Source organism: Homo sapiens, chromosome 10 (assembly GCF_000001405.40).
Source record: "Homo sapiens chromosome 10, GRCh38.p14 Primary Assembly".
In the NCBI taxonomy this organism is placed as follows: Eukaryota; Metazoa; Chordata; class Mammalia; order Primates; family Hominidae; genus Homo; species Homo sapiens.
The window spans coordinates 34,727,199-34,746,682 of NC_000010.11; the positions used below are offsets into that span (position 1 = coordinate 34,727,199).

The 19,484-nt window shown below is 41.9% G+C and overlaps 1 protein-coding gene across 11 annotated transcripts in view, besides 1 other annotated feature; it reads right to left on the bottom strand.

Moving 5' to 3' along the window:
- PARD3 (par-3 family cell polarity regulator) overlaps positions 1-19,484 on the bottom strand; it is a 705,736-nt gene that overhangs the window by 617,638 nt on the left and 68,614 nt on the right. The window lies entirely within an intron of this gene.
- Positions 10,090-10,590: an enhancer, noted in NCBI's record as "H3K4me1 hESC enhancer chr10:35026216-35026716 (GRCh37/hg19 assembly coordinates)". NCBI's record gives its function as "activates a minimal SCP1, AML or CMV promoter by ChIP-STARR-seq in naive H9 embryonic stem cells {active_cell/tissue: H9 hESC(naive)}" and the evidence as "EXISTENCE:reporter gene assay evidence [ECO:0000049][PMID:30033119]".

Genomic DNA, 19,484 nt, shown 5'->3' on the forward strand with positions numbered 1-19,484 from the left:
GGTAAATGAGGGACAGGATGAGTGGGTGCCTGCAAGCCTGAGAGCATGAACCCTATCTAAGGAACAGCTGCCACTGGCGGCATACAAGCTTGCTCTGGCCCAGGCTCCCCAGGTCTCAGGAAGCACTGCACGTTCCCACGTTTTATGCAGCATCTTCTCAATTTCTCAGGCTGGCCATGACAGACATCATTAAAACAATGTGTTCTAGCCTTCTCCCTGCAGGCAGGGCAAGCCTCATAGGACCCAAAGTACATCAGTCCTTCCAGACTGCTGACACCTGCAAGCACAAAGAACTACCACCTTGTACTCTGTAGTCAAAATTTATTTAACTGAAGCAAGTCTGAGCACAGCAATGAGAGATTGCTATGTTTATTTTTTTTTTGAACGACAACAACAAAAAAAACAGTCCAAGTTTATATACATAATGATTTATAGGCACTTTGAAGCCTTTAAGGTTTTCTTTCTGCTCCCGGTCTCTCATCTCTCCATTCCCAATCACACACACTGTTGCCAGAATAACATTCCTCCAGCCCTGTTACGAAACCCCGGCCTGCTGGAGAATGAAAAGGTTTCCCTACTGCAGGTGAAACACAAGTATGCAACCCCCTCCCTCCACCACACACACACACACACACGCACGCACGCAGGTGAAACACAAGTATGCAACCCCCTCCCTCCGCCACACACACACACACACACACACACACACCACTTCCATCCAACCCCTCCAGACTCAACCATTACCACATACTGGGCACAGGCCTTTTCAGCACCCGATATCTGACAAGCAACATTCAACATGTCAACCCGGAGACAATACAAGATCCTTGCAATGCATTCTGGATCAACAAGTAGGTATATTAAGTCTAATTTATTAGACTCTAGGCATTTCGAGGCTTCACAGTATGTATGATGAATCTGTAGGCAAGAAAAACACAGAGTAAAAGCCCTTTATTCTCTATTTTCTATCTAGTTAAGAATTTACCAAATTTACCATATGTAATAAAATACTGTTTTTAGAAAACACTCAAATTTAGGCTCTTGAATATTTGACAAAATTATATACTGCTTCAAATACATACAAATATTCTTCAGGAAGCCTGTACATTAAATAGCAAATAAAGTATCTAAAGGATTCTGACGCTAAATGTCATTTCTGAACGTTTTTGTAATTTAGAAAAATAGTCACATTAGCAGCCAGCTAGTCCCACATCTTGAATACTTTCACAGAACTGCAATGACGCAGGGGCACTTCAGGAAAAAAAACACCAAACCTCTCTTCAACCCTGAAATGTGCCCTAACAGATGAATAATAAAAATGGAAAATATGCACCTCAAAGTACTCTCCACTTTAAACTGACACACTTGTGTTTGTCCTAATGCTGCTAATCAGTTTCCAGTAAATATGTCACATTGTTGTCTATTTCTAAGTGCTCCCAATTTGGATGAAGTCATCCCAAGCAGCAGTAAAAGGCTTTTATTGCCCAGCAGAATACAACCATTTCTGTACTTGCCTTTTGTTTCTCATTACCTAGATGTAGCAGTCAAAAAGTCCAAATTTTCAGGAGGTACATTAGTTTTTTAAATGGTTTCTCATATTTAATGTAATATTCTAGGTTTCATATCAGGCAAAATTATCAAGTTAATCTCATGCAGCCATGTACTGCATAACATTTCAGTCAACAACAGACCGCACACAGACAGTGGTCCCATAAGATTGTAATACCGTATTTCTACTGTACCTTTTCTAGGTTCCGATATGTTTAGAAACACAACTATGTACCACTCTGTTCTAACTGCCTGCAGTATTCAGGACAGTAACAGGCTGTACAGGTTTGCAGTCCAGGAGCAACAGGTTAGACCACACAGCCGAGGTGTGCAGTAGGCTCTGCAACCTAGGTTTGTGTAAGTTCACCCTATGATGCTCGCACAATGAAACTGCCTAACAACTCATTTCACAGAATGAATCCTCCTTAAGCGGCGCGTGACTATGAATATAAATCCTTAAAATGCTGAATGCAGCCTACGCTTTTAAAGATATGATGCTATTGGCCAGGCGTGGAGGCTCATGCCTATAATCCTAGCACTTTGGGAGGTTGAGGTGGGCGGATCACTTGAGGTCAGGAGTTCAAAACCAGCCTGGCCAACACAGTGAAACCCCGTCTCTACTAAAAATACAAAAATTAGCCAGGCGTGGTGGTGGGTGCCTGTAATCCCAGCTACTCGGGAGGCTAAGGCAAGAGAACCACTTGAACCCAGCAGGCGGAGGTTGCAGTGAGCCAACATCACACCACTGCACTCCAGCCTGGGCAACAGGGCAAGACTCCATCTCAAAAAAAAAAAAAAAGATAAGATAAGATATGATGCTATAAAAAAGGATTGTTGTGAGAATTTGAAGGATTCTACATGTAAAATGGAAGCTAAACATCTATAAATAGTAGAACTTGATTTAATATAGAAGGGTCTCCTACAGTAAATGAACCTGACAAGTGCCCCAAAAGTTTCCACTTAATTAAAAATCCACTAAGGAAATTACACACACAAATTAACTTCATTATGCAGCGAGCAGTCTCCTGGAGGAGCCGGAAAAGTAATCTGACCATGGTCCAAGGAGTTCCTTGTACTTCACTCCTGGCTGTTGTGTACGCATCTGTGATGCATCCCCAGGGAGAGATTAAATTTAAACGGATTGGAAAGAGAAGGAAAGATCCTTCCTTCCGATAAAAACACATCCAACATCACCTCCCTCCCCTAGAAATCAGGGGCTTTCAACAATGTGCTTTGGAGAATTTTAATAGGTTTTATAGCCTGAACCAGACCTAAAGAGCAATTCATTAAGAATTTTAGTGTGTTTCTTAAAATGCTCAATAAAATAAAATAATGTCTCAGGGCTATATCCTCACCTAAAATATTTTATAAAGGCCAAAATAAACCTGATACCAAAATCAGACAAATATGTATACATCTTCTCCCTCATGAACTAAGGTACAAAAATCAGCAACAATATATCACCAAATTAAATCCAACAATATATAAAGAGAAGTGGATGGTATACAAAAGCAACGCATCTACAAATCTCACCTCTCTCTCTCCAAAATCCAATTTTTTTTTTCCTAAAGGATAAATTAACCAGACCTGGAAATTAATGAGTTTGCAGATTGAAAAGTTTTCACCAACTTTAAACTGCACTGTACAGCTATAAATTTACATAATGCAGGACTACTTTTTAACAATAATATAGAAATCAGGGGAAATCAATTTTTAAAAAAACAAGATGAAGCCAAAGGCAGTCTTCAAAATATACTCCATGGCTAGGAGCTCACGCCTGTAATCCCTACACTTTGGGAGGCCCAGGAAGGAGGATGGCTTGAGCCCAGGAGTTGTACACCAGCCTGGCCAATACGGCAAGCCATCGTCTCTACAAAAAAATTTAAAAATTAGCCATGTGTGATGATGCATGCCTGTAGTCCTACCTGTACTGGATAGGCTGAGGTGGGAGGCTCACTTGGGCACAGGAGTACAAGGCTGCAGTGAGCTATGACTGCAACACTGCACTCAGCCAAGGTGACTCTGTCTCCAAAATAAAATAAAATTGAAATTAATAAAAATTTAAATTTGAAAAACGTACTCCATTAGGTCCTGCAAAGCGAGTAGACGCTGTGAGGATTCCAGCAGCCTTAATGAGCGCATACACACAAGGAAAGAACCACAACTATTCATTTCTCTTGTGAAATTCTTAAACCAACCCACAATTTGACCCGGTTATATAGCTCTATTAGTGTAAGTACACAACATTGTGCCCCAAACTTAAGAATTTCACAGCTACAAACTTCTACGGGCAGGGTTTCCATATGATAAAGATATTTGTGCATACTTGATTAAGTCATCATTATAATCATCTGTTGAATACGCTATGAGCAATTTTTTTACGCTGTTTTCTCTCACCTTTATAATGATCTTCCAAATCAGAAAAAAAGTCAAAATATAAAATTAAGACATCTTCTTTTAGGAATTCTTCTACAGAGCAGGCCTGAGTTTCAACTTGCATGGCATAAAATGTATGCAAAGAAAATGTATTCTGATATGAGACCCTCAGTTGCCTACAGACTTCAATCAACTCATTTGGAGAGCTGTTCACTACCTCTTAGTCTTTTCAAGTCTTATTAGTCTTTACACAATCCACTGACATGGACAGCTATAAAAGTTACACTTGCTGCTCTAGCGCTGACTAGACAAATTTGTAGTGATTAGCACATTACCTGAACTATCATTCCAAGTTTGTCTGAAAGCAACACAAAAACCTATAGCTACATGTCCTATAAAGTTTCTCATAAAATGACCACACTTTTGAGGTCGTAAAATAAAAGTACTTATTTGCCATTAAAATCACAGAACTTAAAGGGATTGCAAAGACTCTAGAGGTCACCAACAATTGAGAAAAGTTGAAGTTCAAAAATCAAGAAGTAATTTTTTTCACAATCAAATAGTAGTTGAATAGCAATATCCAACATTCCCATCTCCTAATTCCTTCTTCCACAGTCTCCTAGTTTTTTCATCATGCCACATACAGCTTACCAAAATCTTTATTTTTAATTTAAATCACAGGAAAGGCAAATGCTGTAATGAGTCTGCAAATATTTACAAGAGAGGAGTGAAGAAATAAGCCCACTAAATTCAGTGAGACAAGTATAATGAGAAATAATCCCAAGGCTCATTTTTCTCAGTTTCTCAGAATTGATAGGACAACAATAAAAGGAAGGGAAGAAATTTTGCAAGACTAACTCTCAAAAAGAATAGCTATTTGCAGAATGAATCACAGCTATTAATCTTTTCTTGAAAAATATATGACAGCAGGGTGTTTTCCCTGTCTCTAACTTTAAAAGGCCGGCTGCCAAAGGGCTATTCGATGAAAACATTACATACCATCATTGAGATATGCACTCTTTCAACCTGAGAACGCTTATTGAAAGGTAAGAAAAAAAAAGAAACGCAATCTTCTGAAAACATTAAACTACAAAACAGTCACATTAACAAAAGTACAGCTAAGCCTCACAATGCAGGTCTTCTCAAGTACATGCAAAAGTAGTAAAATGGAGACACTCTAGGGTAGGAGGCCTGAAGTAAACTGCACTAATCCCTTTGTCCACCCCCACCCATACAAATTGTCTTTGAAGTATTTTGTGAGATATCTTGATTTTATTTTTAAAATACATACAGGCCAGGTGCAATGACTGACACTTATAATGGCACTTTGGGAGGCCAAGGTGGGAGGACAGCTTGAGACCAGGAGTTTGAGATCAGCCTGGGCAACACAGCAAGGCTCCATTTCTACGAAAAAATTTTCTTTTAATTAGCCGGGCATAGTGGCATGTGCCTGTAGTTCCAGCTGTTTGGGAGGCTGAGGCGGGAGGGTTGCTTGAACCCAGGAGTTTGGGGCTACAGTGAGCTATGATCATACCACTGCACTCCAGCCTGGAGGACAGAGCAAGACAATCAATCAATCAATAATAAATAATTAGTAATTGATTAATCGGTGATAAATAGGTAAATGAGTTAAAATTCATATAGAATTTACGTTACGCCATAATATTTGCCTTTGCAATACGAAAGTTGAGCCTTCAAATAAATGGAAAACCACCCCTCACAAACCCATACCTCCCTCAGCAATACTCACACCCAGTGTGAGGAACATACTGGAAGGCCACTACAAATAGCAACATGAGGGACAGCCATCGGGCACCAGGCAGACGAGGGACCCACGGAGGAGCTCCTCTATGAAGACTCCAGTCTAGTGTCTCTTCCCCACCTCCCACCCTCTCTTTGAACTCCCTCTCTCTTCTGCCCTCTACAGGAAACAAGGTGATATCAAAATAAAGGGGTCTGGGACAAGGAAACAAGAAGCTCACCTCTATCAATGGAAAACATAAAAGTCTCACTACTACAATGAAATATTTGCCTGCCTCTACTTACACTTTATACCAAAGTTCAAAGTTAACACCGTTAATCACCATCCACAAAAGCATGACTAACCAAGTGAAGATTAACTAGTCATTTCCTGATTACAAATGGAAGTAGAATTTTCCCAGTATCATTGACAGTGACTATTAGAATGTGTTGAAAGTCCCTTACAATCACTCTTCCAAAAATGCTTTAAGACAAAATTTAAATAAAAATTTTATTCACTAACAGCTGTCCAAGATTCCAATACAAACATAATTCTACGTTGTGATTAAAAAGAAAAATTATTCAGCTTAAAAAAACAACTAGTGACAAACATGATTAGAGTTTTGTTTTGTTTCTTTTGAGATTGAGTCTCACTCTGTCACCCAGGCTGGAGTGCAGTGGCACCATCTCGGCTCACCACGAACTCCTCCTCCCGGGCTCAAGCAATTCTCCTGCCTCAGCCTCCCAAGCAGCTGAGATTACAGGCGTGTGCCACCAAACCCAGCTAATTTTTATATTTTTAGTAGAGACGGGGTTTGAGATCTGTGGGGTTTCCCCATGTTGGCCAGGCTGGTCTCGAACTCCTGACCTCAGGTGATCCGCTGGTGTTGGCCTCCCAAAGTGCTGGGATTATGGGCGTGAGCCACCGCACCCTGCCATGGTTAGAGTTTTTATCAGGTATTTGTTCTGGAAAGCAGACTCAAAATTAATATAAACCATCTTTCTCAAAACTCCTAATATAAAGCTAACACCAATTCACAAAAGAAGAGAGTAAATTATGCTTCTGCGAAAGTAAAATCAAAGCTGTTTTTTTTTTTTTACCATAAGCAGTCATAGAAAGAACAAAGCTGTTTTATACTTATTTCCCATTGACAAAATTAACCCCAAACATAACAATCACTTATTCAGAAAAAAAAGTGTAAAAAGTAACCATATGGTTTTAATGTTTCCTAATCTCCTAATTTATTATTTAGAATGTTAAAACTTATTTCTCAGGTTCAAAAAAATCCTTTAAAAAACTTTTACTATAATGCCTTATCAGTTACTCAACTACTAAAAAGTAAATTCATTATATCAACAAAGCACTACAAAAAGGCATGTGAGTGATACACTTCTGCACTTGGAAAATCTGCCAAATTCCCATCATTGAAGATTACACATATAACAAATATATGGGGCCCTTTTTTTTTTTTTTTTTTTTTTTTTTTTTTTGAGACAGAGTCTCGCTCTGTCGCCCAGGCTGGAGTGCAGTGGCGCGATCTCAGCTCACTGCAAGCTCCGCCTCCTGGGTTCACGCCATTCTCCTGCTTCAGCCTCCATAGTAGCTGGGATTACAGGCGCCCGCCACCATGCCCGGCTAATATTTTTTTGTATTTTTAGTAGAGACGGGGTTTCACTGTGTTAGCCAGTATGGTCTCGATCTCCTGACCTTGTGATCCGCCCACCTCGGCCCATATGGGGCATTTTTAAAATAAAAGAGAAAACAAAAAACTTCACATGCTGTGTTGAAACAACTGGCTTTCCTATTGGAGGAGTGTGGGGAAGAAATTAGGTCCCTACCTTACCAAATACAAAATCAATCCCATATGAATTCAAGATTAGATTCAAAATGCTTTCTTTCATTAATTTTAAACTATTAGATATAAAAAGAGAATATGTTTGCAATTTAAGGTGAGGCCTTCTTAAGCAAGACACTAGATGTTAATACCCAAAAGCCAGGAAGTTTAACATTTCTGTACAAAGTATGGTATATGCCATTTTAAAAAGTTAAACAGCAGACAAAATACAGAAAATATATTTTCAATGTGTACTGCATTTAAAGTTACTATTACAAAGGGCTTATGGGAAAAAAAAAAAAAAAACCCCAAGAGCAAAATGGATAAATTAATAGGAAATTCTGAGAAAAGGATGTAAACATGTGAGAAAACAGTAAAATTCCCTGGTGCTAAGGGAAATTAAGGCAATGATGATGTAGCACTTTTTGAGTATATCCAAACGGACAACAGAAAATAATAAGTAGATAACCTAGTATTCACGAGAGAGATCAATTATCTTTTTTAGGGCAATTTGTCAATAATAAGACATAAGTTGTATGTTTCTTTTGCTCTAAGCTACTCGTAGCTTCCATACACAAGAATAAAGCTGTAGAGATGCTATAGCACTAGTTATTTACAGCAGAAAATTTGAGAAAATATTCTTTTCATTAAAGGAATAAAGTTATGATAGGTTCATATGACAAGATATTATGGAATATGCAATAACGATTACAGGACTTCTCACTAGCTGCAAATTGAAATTCTGACTCAATCTGACATTGAACCCCAATACAACTAACCACATTCAAAGTTCTGTCCCTGCTCCTTGAATGATCTGTTCCAACACAACAGATCTGCTGCCAGTCCCAAAATCTGGCTTATATTAAGCATTCCATCTCCTGGGCTTCATCAGCAATGAATATCAAAATGGGCTAACCTACCCACATGGGCTTCCAAACTTTCCCGTAAGAAAATAAAGTAGATATATGCAATGATTTATCTGAAAAGATTCTCATCAGGCCCTTTGCAGTATAAAAGGAAAAAAAATTTGAAACAACCCCCCTTATTTTTTATTCCTTTTAAAGTAAGTGGCGGATATCAGTACACTTTGCCTGTAATCATTTCAGCAATGCAATATATGTACTGTAGTATAATCCCATTTTTAACAGAAATATTTTTTATATATATGGTATACACTCCACTTGTGTAATGACACTTTTCTTGGAGTAATAAAAATAGAGTCTCACTCTGTTGCCCAGGCTGGTCTCAAACTCCTGGGCTCAAGTCATCAATCCTTCTGCCCTCCCAAATTGTTCAGATTACAGGCATGAGCCACCACACCAAACTTGTTACTTTTTTTTTTCTTTCTTTTGAGACAAGAGTCTCGCTCTGCCGCCCAGGCTGGAGTGCAGTGGCGCGATCTCGGCTAGCTGCAAGCTCCACCTCCCGGGTTCACGCCATTCTCATGCCTCAGCCTCCCGAGTAGCTGGGACTACAGGTGCCCACCACCACACCCGCTAATTTTTTGTATTTTTAGTAGAGACAGGGTTTCACCGTGTTAGCCAGGATGGTCTCAATCTCCTGACCTCATGATCCGCCTGCCTCGGCCTCCCAAAGTGCTGGGATTATAGGCGTGAGCCACTGCGCCTGGCCCTTTTTTTTTTTTTTTGGTGATAGGGTCTTGCTCTGTCACCCAGGCTGGAGTGCAGTGGCATGATCACAGCTCACTGCAGCCTCAAACTCCTGTGCTCCAGTGATCCTCCCACAACAGCCTCCTGAATAGCTGGGAACACAGACACATGCCACCACACCTAGCTAAATTTTTTTTTCATCAGCAGACAAAGCTATAAAAGAAATGAAACAAAAATAGATCACTTGAATCCGCACCACTGTCTGTGTTCATAAAGAAAGTGACAACTACACTGAAGAAAGAGTTATTTCAAAATGTTGGAAATAGGTTACTTTATTAATTAATTAATTTATTTATTTATTTATTTATTTATTTATTTATTTACTGAGACAGAGTCTTGCTCTATTGCCCTGGCTGGAGTGAAGTGGTGCAATCTAGGCTCACTGCAACCTCCACCTCCCAGGTTCAAGCAATTCTCCTCAGCCTCAGCCTCCCAAGTAGCTGGGATTACAGGCATGCGCCACCATGCCCAGCTAATTTTTGTATTTTTAGTAGAAACAGGGTTTCGCCATGTTGGCCAGGTTGGTCTTGAACTCCTGACCTCAAGTGATCTGCCCACCTCTGCCTCCCAAAGTGCTGGGATTACAGGCATGAGCCACCATGCCTGGCCAAAATAGGTGACTTTAGACATCCCAAAAGGTCAGAAGCAACAAACTCATGTCTCCCTCCCCTTTTACGGTTGAGATGCTCCACAATCCCAACTGAGAACAGCAAGACACAGTTACAGAAACAGAAATGAGAAAGCGGGTGAAGGGGAGAAAGGGGGACGGAGAGAAGCAGGGGTCTGCAGTATTGACCTGGTCCCAAGAATACGGGGTGTTTATTTAGGTGGTTGAGCAAATAGTCGGTGAGGTCAAAGGTATCTCATGCATACAATGTGCCTTTCACTTTTCAACAGGAGCCAAGGGTTATTCTGTAACTATGTGCTCAGGCAAGGAAGATTTCCCACTTCTCCACTAACAACAGTCAGAAGCCAAAAGCTCCACTCAGGTGCTTGGCTACATTTTGCCTTAAAGGACAGCTGAAGTGGTGCGGTTACCTCCACCCCAACAAGGACTAAGAAAGACGTCTGCCCAACACTATGGAGCCGATTTTACCACAGAGGTGAAAATCCTATCCCCTCCCACAATGAGCATTCTATTTGGGGGAGGCAAAACCACAGTGCTCTGGTTTGAACATTTGTGTCCCCTCCACAATTCATGCTGAAACTTAATCCCCAACGCAACAGTAGAGAGGAGGTGCCTTTAGAAGGAGATTAGCCTTAGAAAAGGGCCCTCGGCTCCCCCACCACGTGAGTGCTCAGCTGCTAGGCACCAACCTAGCAGCAGAATCCAGGCCCACACCAGACACTGGCACCTAGTTTGGACTTCCCAGCCTTCAGAGCCGTGAGAAATAAATCTGTTGTTTTATAAATCACCCAACTTCAGGTATTTTCTTATAGCAACACGAATGAACTAAGACACACAGCAAACCAGCATGAAACATCTAGGAAAGTAGGAACACAAGAACACAGCACACCACGCTAGGGACGCCTGGGCCCGCAGGTGGTTCTCAGAACTGCCATTGAGAATGCCCACAGCAAAGGGCCCATTAGGCAAAGGCCCAGGAGGAAGAAGGCAACAGCAGATGGGGGCGTCTTGCTGAAAAAGCTGAGACTCTGGACTGCCTCATACAGGATATGGGTCTTACTACAGGCAATACCCTCGAATATTTTCTACTCTATTCTTTCTCTGTCTTTAAAGCCAATTTTAACCTACGAAGAAATACAACCTCCTCTTCTCCCACTCTTGCCCCACCACCAAAGACAAACACACATATGCTAGACTAACCATCCTACATGATACATGCATGTATGACTTTAAGGAAAACACTTCTAATAAGATAGCTGGAGGGAATGATCAGGATTTTATAAGCACCACTAGTCCTGGGAAAGCTGGTACTAGATCCATCTACTCAGACAGGAAGAATCCCATTTTCGTTTGTATTTTATTTTAGAGATGGAGTCTCACTATATTGCCCAGGCTGGTCTGGAACTCCTGGCCTCAAGGGATCTTCTCGTCTTGGGGTCCCCCCAAAGTGCTGGGGTTATAGGTGTGAGCCACCTCACATGGCCTCAGAATCCCATTTTTAATAAGCTCCACAGCACATCACTACCTCATTAAAATACCTCATTAAAATGGAAGAAAAGCCAACATACGGAGACCCCATCTCTACACATAATTTAAAAATTAACCAGGCATGGTGGCACTCATCGGCGGTTCCAGCTACCAGAGAGGCTGAACTGAGAGGATCACCTAAGCCCAGGAGGTCCAGGCTGCAGTGAGTGAGCTGTGTTCACGCCACCGCACTGCACTCCAGCCTAGGTGACAGAGTGAGACCCTGTCTTAAAAAAACAGGGCAGAAGAGGTCAGGGGGAGGATGGGTGACAGAGTAAGACCCTGTCTCAAAATAAGGGGACAGAAGGGGTCAAGGGGAGGAAGCCTATTGCCACTTCACACAAAGTACTGCTAATTTTATTTCTAAAATGTTTAGAGCACATTGTAGCATAAAACATAAAACCAGAACAAGCACAAATGGGGGTGTTCAGTAAATGGTAATGATTGATATATCTGAACAAAAATTTACAAATGGATGTAAAGTAACACTTCAGCTAGCAGAAAGTAACTCACTTTCTCCGTTTTGTTTAAGGGATCACCTCCTTAAACAAAATTACCAACCACTGAAATGTAGGTAAAGTTTTTATTACATAAAATGAAGTTGACAACTAAATGCAATGTAGCCCTCTGGACTGGATCCTGGCATAGAAAGAGGACACTAACTGAAAAACTGGTGAACAGCAAATAAATTCTGAAGTTTAGTTAAAGTCAACGTTGGTTCATTTTGACAAATGCATCACAGTGATGTAAGACATTAGCAAAGAGGATGAGGTGAGGGGTACACTCTCTCTACTATCTTTGCAGTTTTTAATAAATCTAAAGTTATTTTAAAATAAAAAGTTTATGTTAAAGAATGACCGCACCAGAGGGCTGTTCAAGAAATGAGGAAGGGATCAACCATATCAAGTACTACTGAGGAATCCAGCAAGATAAGCGTCCACCTGACTTATATTAATTAAAATGCTGAAATCCCAGGAGTGCTGGGAGAGAGGCGAGGGCAGGGGATCACAGGAACTTTGTTGCAGAGTTGCAGAAGGCCTCAGTGCTTCCCTCTGTCCCAGAGGTCCTGTGATATCCCCTCCTCTTGCCCTATAAGCATCACGGTCCTATTGCTATGAACCACCTTGTGCAACCTCAGTGGTGCTTTGGAATGTTCTAGAATGAATCAAAAGATCCTCACAGCTTTCCCTAAACTTAGGAATGCATCCTAAACTACTGAGTTCAGTATGATATTCAATAAAGTGGGAGCAGGGGATAGAAAATGCCCCATGCACTGACCTCTTAAATCCTGTGCAAGATTCTATGCATAGAGGATCTCTCTGCACATACCACATAGAATGTTTTCTGAAGCTTGCTGGAAAATATTCCCTATCTCTGTCAAAGAAAGGGAGAAAGGATAAGTCAGGAGGAGGGCAGAACCAGAGTTGGAAGGCAAGGACAGCTGCTACGGTTCACCCTCCTACACACTGACCCGCCAGCGACTCCGTGCAAGTTCATGGAGAAGGGAAGGGAAGAAAGGAAAGGTGTCAGCTGACTTGAGCTGGAGAGAGAGAAAAACACAAAGGCGACAGCTGGTGAGAGCCTCCCGTCCCCACCCCAAGAGGAGAAAGGGAGGAAACCTGAAACCACTTCAAGACGAAAAAGAGGCAGTCCCATTGCAGCTGGCTGCCTCCTCCAGTTCCAGCAGAGCTGGCCGGCTGGGAGACAGCCCCAGCCTGCTGGGAGAGCCCCCTGGGAGCTGAGCTGCAGGAGAGGGCTCCGACAGCCCTCCTGGGTTCTGAGACAGCAGTGAATTCAAGGAGACAAGGATGCTCTGAAGGCAAAAGGATAAAAAATGGATCAGTGCATCTGGTCTCCCTGTCAACAAACATATCCTTCTGATGCCACCTCTTTCACGACCCAAGAATCTTTTGAATCCATGGCAGTAGCACAAGACAACTTCCTTGACAATCACTGTGCCCGTTCCAACAAAATGCGGTTTTCTATCATCAGTGAGTGATAGGACTGTAACAGGTGTGTTCAGAGCTGAGCTGTTCTTCTGACTCCCGCCCCCATCTCCCCCTCCCACTCCTCCTACCTGTCAGCTCCCAGGGCACCCTAACTTTCACACCAAGCTGTTTTAAGGCTTCCAAAGGCCTCTCTCACCAGCCTCTTCTATATCATGTGAACAACAAATCACGTTCCCTCCCCTCTTTTCCTACTGATTCAGACAGAATCTTCATTCTGAACAACAAAAAATTGACGTATATCTTTTGAGATCTAGACTTCACAGCATAAAAAAATTGATAAAGCCTACTAATTATACCAAGTAGGGTAAACAGTGGTTAAATTTTTTTTAATGTGAAGCTTGACTAAAGTCTACTTACACAGAACTATCACTATATGAACAATATGGTAGACAGGTAATGTTGGTGTCTCAAATAACTAACTCGAGTTCAACTTTTAACAAAAGTATAAATGCAAATAATTTGTTTACATAAGACTTTTTCCCCCTAAAACAAATATTATAGCTAATTGGAACTGGCCTATTTGTGGGTGAACAGACCAACAGGCTAACAGACTATACTCAATACTACATCTCTAAAGGCAGTAAAATGCCAAACCTACAAATTGCCTATGGAAAAGTCAACTGCTGTGTTTTCGTAAACCAAATTTTTTTTTTTTTTTTTTTTGTTTGAGAGAGAGTGAGTCTCACTCTGTTGCCCAGGCTGGAGTGTGGTGGTGCGATCACAACCTTCTGCAGCTTCAACTTCCTGGGCTCAAGTGATCCTCCCACCTCAGCCTCCCTAGTAGCTGGACTACGGGCATGCACCACCACATCTGGCTAAGTTTTTTTATTTTTTGTAGTGGTACAGTCTCACTATGTTGCCCAGGCTGGTCTTGAACTCCTGAGCTTAAGCGATCCTCCTGCCTCAGCCTCCAAAAGTGCTGGGATTACAGGCATGAGCCACTGTGCCCAGCCTATTTTTATTTATAAAAAGAAAATTCTGGGTAAAGAAGAAAGGGAATATCTAATTCTCATTTAGGTGGGGTTTTTAGACACCAATCCATGCAGAAGCGACAGCCCCTGTGCAGAGGAGCGCAGCCATCTACAAATGGACCACAGAACAAAGAGAATGCCCTGCTGTCAGCACAAAAACTCTTCCCATGCTGGTCGGTGCCACTGTGATACCTGCTTCTGTGGAGCAGATGATCCTGGGATCCTATTGTCCCTCATTGTGTATGGATTCAGTAGGCACTACTGAGAAATCTCTTATAGTCTAACAGAAGTTAATGAAGCACATACAACACAGAAAAATTAACAAAAGTTGATAAAGTACTTCAAAAAGACCATTACTGGTTTTTGTAAACTCACAGGATGATTCCAGATTTTGCAAGCATTAGAATATAAAATACCTAAAAATTTCTTAAAATGTACAATATAACAATAAGGTAAATTCATAATAATCAGGTTCAGCGACAATACTCAGAAGCAATGAGACAATCCCATCCCATTGCCTGGCACAGGAACTGCCTATTTAGTTTTCAAGGTGTTTGTACTTCTTTTGTCTCAATCTCCCCAGCACAACCTTGGGAGGATGAAAATTCACGTGATAGCTACATGCTACTGAAACTTGGTTCTTCCAAGTTTCCTCCACTCAATTAAACCTCCAAATTACTTGCCTTTGATAACTATTTTTAATGACAAACTACAAACAATCACAGAGTTTACAAGGACAGGAACTGGGATGAGATCAGAGGCACTTGCCTCTGACACCAATGTAAGGGGGGGACCAAAATCTCAGTAGTCACGATAAATATCATAATGCAACAATTCAACAAAAGAGATTGTTCAGCTAGAGATCAACAGATTAATAGACTGATTAATAGAGATTAATCCAATCCACTGCCACAACAGATCTCCACGTTTGCAGTCCTTGGCTGGATGGCCTCTACACAACACGGCTCCCAGGGGTGGTCCCGTCTCACAGACCCTACAGGCCAAGTTCTTTACTTTTCAGTTTCCGTGTTCATTAAGTGTCCTGGAAGCAGAACTGCATCATAAGATCAATGGCAATTACTCTGACCTAAAAAACAGAGAATCTCATAGATGATCTAATGAATCACATCCCAACCAACCAATCCAGGGTTGATCTACCCACATCCTGTACTGCGTGGAGGCTTTTTAATACCAGTCACTACTAGGGAGTAAAACGTCAAAAAGAGATTGCATTCCTTAATTTTGCATTGTTTGCAATTATCTGTAAAAACTAATTTTTCAAAAGAAGAAGGGAGACAATGCAGGCAGCCTTCTCCATATTGATCGTGAAGAATCTACAATCACCAACAAGGCACAGCAGGCCACAACATCTGAAACTGCAGACCCTATGTTCCTACCACAGGCTCCTTCACTGAAAGCAGGAGCTTCGGAGTCACACGGTCTTGGGTGCCAAGTACCACTCAGCCATTTATTAATATCGCCAAGCCTCAATGTCCTTTTGTAAGAAAGGAACGTAATATCTAATTCATTGGATTATAAATTCATATGTTGAAGGCCTAATAGTATGCACTGGACTTAGCAAATATTCAATTAAATCTTATCATCATCATCTCATAATTATTTTTCCATTGTATCCTTCCCCAAACCAGAAAATCTCTAGGTTCCATGAAAATGTGTCCACAGAAAGAACCAAAGGCATGGCAGAGCTCCATGCTAGGCCACGGTACTCCTCTGCTGCTGTCTTCAACACCAGGTGACTGGTTTCCTAAGGAACTAGACACACAACTTGTCAACAGCATTTGTCTTCTCATCTGCACTGCTCCCAACCAATGACCCAACACAGCTTTGTCATCTTGGGAGAGAAGGTGGTGGTACACCTTCAGATCAGTTTCTTTGATTGACCTAAGAAACATACAACTGAATGTGGGACGCATCTATCCTAATAGGACTCCAACATAAATCAGCACCTGTCACACAGAAGACCACATCTCAACCTCACACTTATCTTTCAGAATAAACTGAAATCTACACTAAATTTCAGGTCCGAAAATCCCATGCCAATTAATAGAGAGCACAGAATCACAAACACAAGTAACCAAACTCTCCCGTATCTAAAAATCTGCTTTCTCGAGCCACAAAGACATCCTAACTAGCCTTGATAGATTGTACATACAGCACTGCCAGTGATGGGTATCTGAACTTGAAGTCATTGTTCCATTTCACATGAAGATTGAACCTGCACATCGGCTGTCTAAAATCAATGCCAAGGTTGGAGGAGGGAGAGGAAAAACAGGGTTGGTCTGAGAGCACACGGAAGCTGTGTGACTGCCCCCACAATCACGCCTGGCTGCAGCCCCCAGATAAGGGCATGGTGGGTCCTCCCCTGCCACCCTTCTCTGCCATATATAGCAGTGCTGGGCACCTGGCACAGACTCCCTTTGCACTCATGGCTGCCTGGAGAATTGCTCAGAGTAACAGCATGTCTCGGCTAGTTAAAAAGATCTCCAGACACTCTGAGCCCGTGAAAGAAGCAACAAACAGCCAGGCCTGAGCCAATCCAGATGACTACTAGAGCAGCAAAAATCTCAGCTGTGCCAACTAGACCAGTCACCACGCTCCTCACCGCCCATCTCCCTCTGGCCAAATGGCTCTCCATGGTGTCCCTTAGAAATAACAATAAATAGCGCAACAACTTAATTTTATAGTTAAAATGCAACAAGCCAGACAGTACATTAGCCATTATCCATGCAAATCTTGAAATATTTTCCATGCAAAATCCCAGTTTTAATACATAGTCACCATGAAGAGGAATTCAACAGCAAGGATATTACATTTACCATCTCAAAAATAAAAAAACTTTTTCTAAGTTAATCCAATATTTGGTCGTTTATGATTTACCTTCCAAGATGAAAAAGCTGAAAGGCTTCTTTTGTCCCCAAGGGGAGAGACTGCCAGCAGCTTTGAGGTCTGCCTTCCAGCTGTTTTTGTTAGATTTTTACACCTGCTAATGCCCAGCAACTAAGTGAGCATAAACAGGCATCGCTTACCAGCGTTTCACTGGAATCTCTTGATTTAACTTCCAAATTACTTGGCTTTGATAACTATTTTTAATGACAAACTACAAGGAATCATAGCGTTTACAAGGGCTGGAACAGAGGTGAGACTACAGGCACTTGCCTCTGACACAAAATTTAAGGGAGGACCAAAATCTCAGTAGTCAAGAGAAATAGTTTAATGTAATAATTGAACAAAAAAACTGATGCACAAAAATCCAAGATAAGCAAAATGCCAAAATTTTAAATAAAAACAGACTCATCTGAGTGTCCTGTCTGATAAGAGGGGAGATTAGAAACCTTCTCTCCAGATGGTCATCACAATCACAGGGGACCAAAGAGCTGCAGTGGACTGAAGGAAGTGGGTGCACACCCAGGAGCTCGGGCAACTAGGACCCTCTGCATCCTCGACCACCCCTTGGACCCTGTGGTCTCCCAGGAACCCAGTCTCTGGCCTGACCCCAGAAAAATCAACAGCAATAACCTAGCAACCAACCTCATCGTTTTACAAATAAGAAAAACAAGGCTGGTTGTAGTGGCTCACACCTGTAATGTCAGTGCTTTGGGAGGCCAAGGCAGGAGGATCACTTGAGGCCAGGAGTTTGCGACCAGCTTGGGCAACAAAGCAAGATCTCGTTTCTACAAAAAATGTTAAAAATCAACCAGGCTTGGTAGCATGAGCCTGTAGTCCCAGATATTCGGAGGCTGAGGTAGGAGAATCTCTAGAGCCCAAGAGTTGGAGGATGCAGTGTACTATGATCATGCCACCACACTCCAGCTTGGATGACAGAGAAAGACCCTATATCTACAAAAGATAGAAAAGAAAGGAAGTAAAAGGAAGGAAAGGAAGGAAAGAGAGGGAGGAAGGGAGGGAGGGAAAGAGAGAGGGAAAGAGAGAGAAAGAGAGAGGGAAAGAGAGAGAGAGAAGAAAGGGAAGAAAGAAATGAATACACACGCTCTGGGGTGTCGACTGTTGGAGGAAAGGCTAGGATAAGAATCTAAGCCTCCCACTCCAGGGCTTTGGGCATGCAATCCTCAGATGAACCATCACCAAAGGAAGACTCGGCAATGTGGACAGGCCTTCTATTGCTTAAAAAATTGTAGCTGGGCACAGTGGCTCATGCCTGTAATCCCAGCACTTTGGGATTACAAGTGATTTCAGGAGTTCAATGCTGCAGTGAGCCCTGAGCCATGATCACGCCACTATAGTCCATACTATGTAAAGGAAATGGCACAGTAATTCTTAGAAAATAATTAAGAAACGGCCAGGCGCGGTGGCTCACGCCTGTAATCCCAGCACTTTGGGAGGTCAAGGCACGCAGATCACGAGGTCAGGAGATCGAGACCATCCTGGCTAACACGGTGAAACCCCGCCTCTACTAAAAAAATACAAAAAATTAGCCGGGCATGGTGGCGAGCGCCTGTAGTCCCAGCTACTCGGGAGGCTGAGGCAGGAGAATGGCGTGAATCCAGGAGGCGGAGCCTGCAGTGAGCCTAGATCGCACCGCTGCACTCCAGCCTGGGCGACAGAGCAAGACTCCATCTCAAAAAACAAAAAAGAAAAAAAAATTAAGAAACAAAGAAGCCACTAAACAATAACTCTACTATCAAAAATAATTTCTTGGCTGGGCACGGTGACTCATACCTGTAATCTCAGCAGGAGGATCACTTGAGGCCAGGAGTTCAGGAACAGCCTGGCCAACAAAGTGAGATTCTGTCTCTACAAAATTAAAAAAAAAAAAAATTAGCTGGGCATGGCAGCACACACCTACAGTCACCACTACTCGGCAGGCTGAGGCGGGAGGATTGCCTAAGCCCAGGAGTTCAAGGTTATAGTGAGGTATGATCACCCAGCTGCACTCAACCTGGGCAACAGAGTAAGACCTCGTCTCTAAATATAATAATAATTTCTTAATACTATTTTAAAATAGTAACACATTTATTAAAGCCATGAAAGTCAAATGTCTCAAATTTAAGATTCTATGTACTTTTGCAAATATGCCCATAAGTAGCCCAAACTTGTAGCCAGCTTCATATCAAGTAGAAATAATCACAAGCATCTGTAATGAAAATTGTCAACTTCACTGATTTCACTACTTTTTAAATGATAAAAAATTATGAAAGACG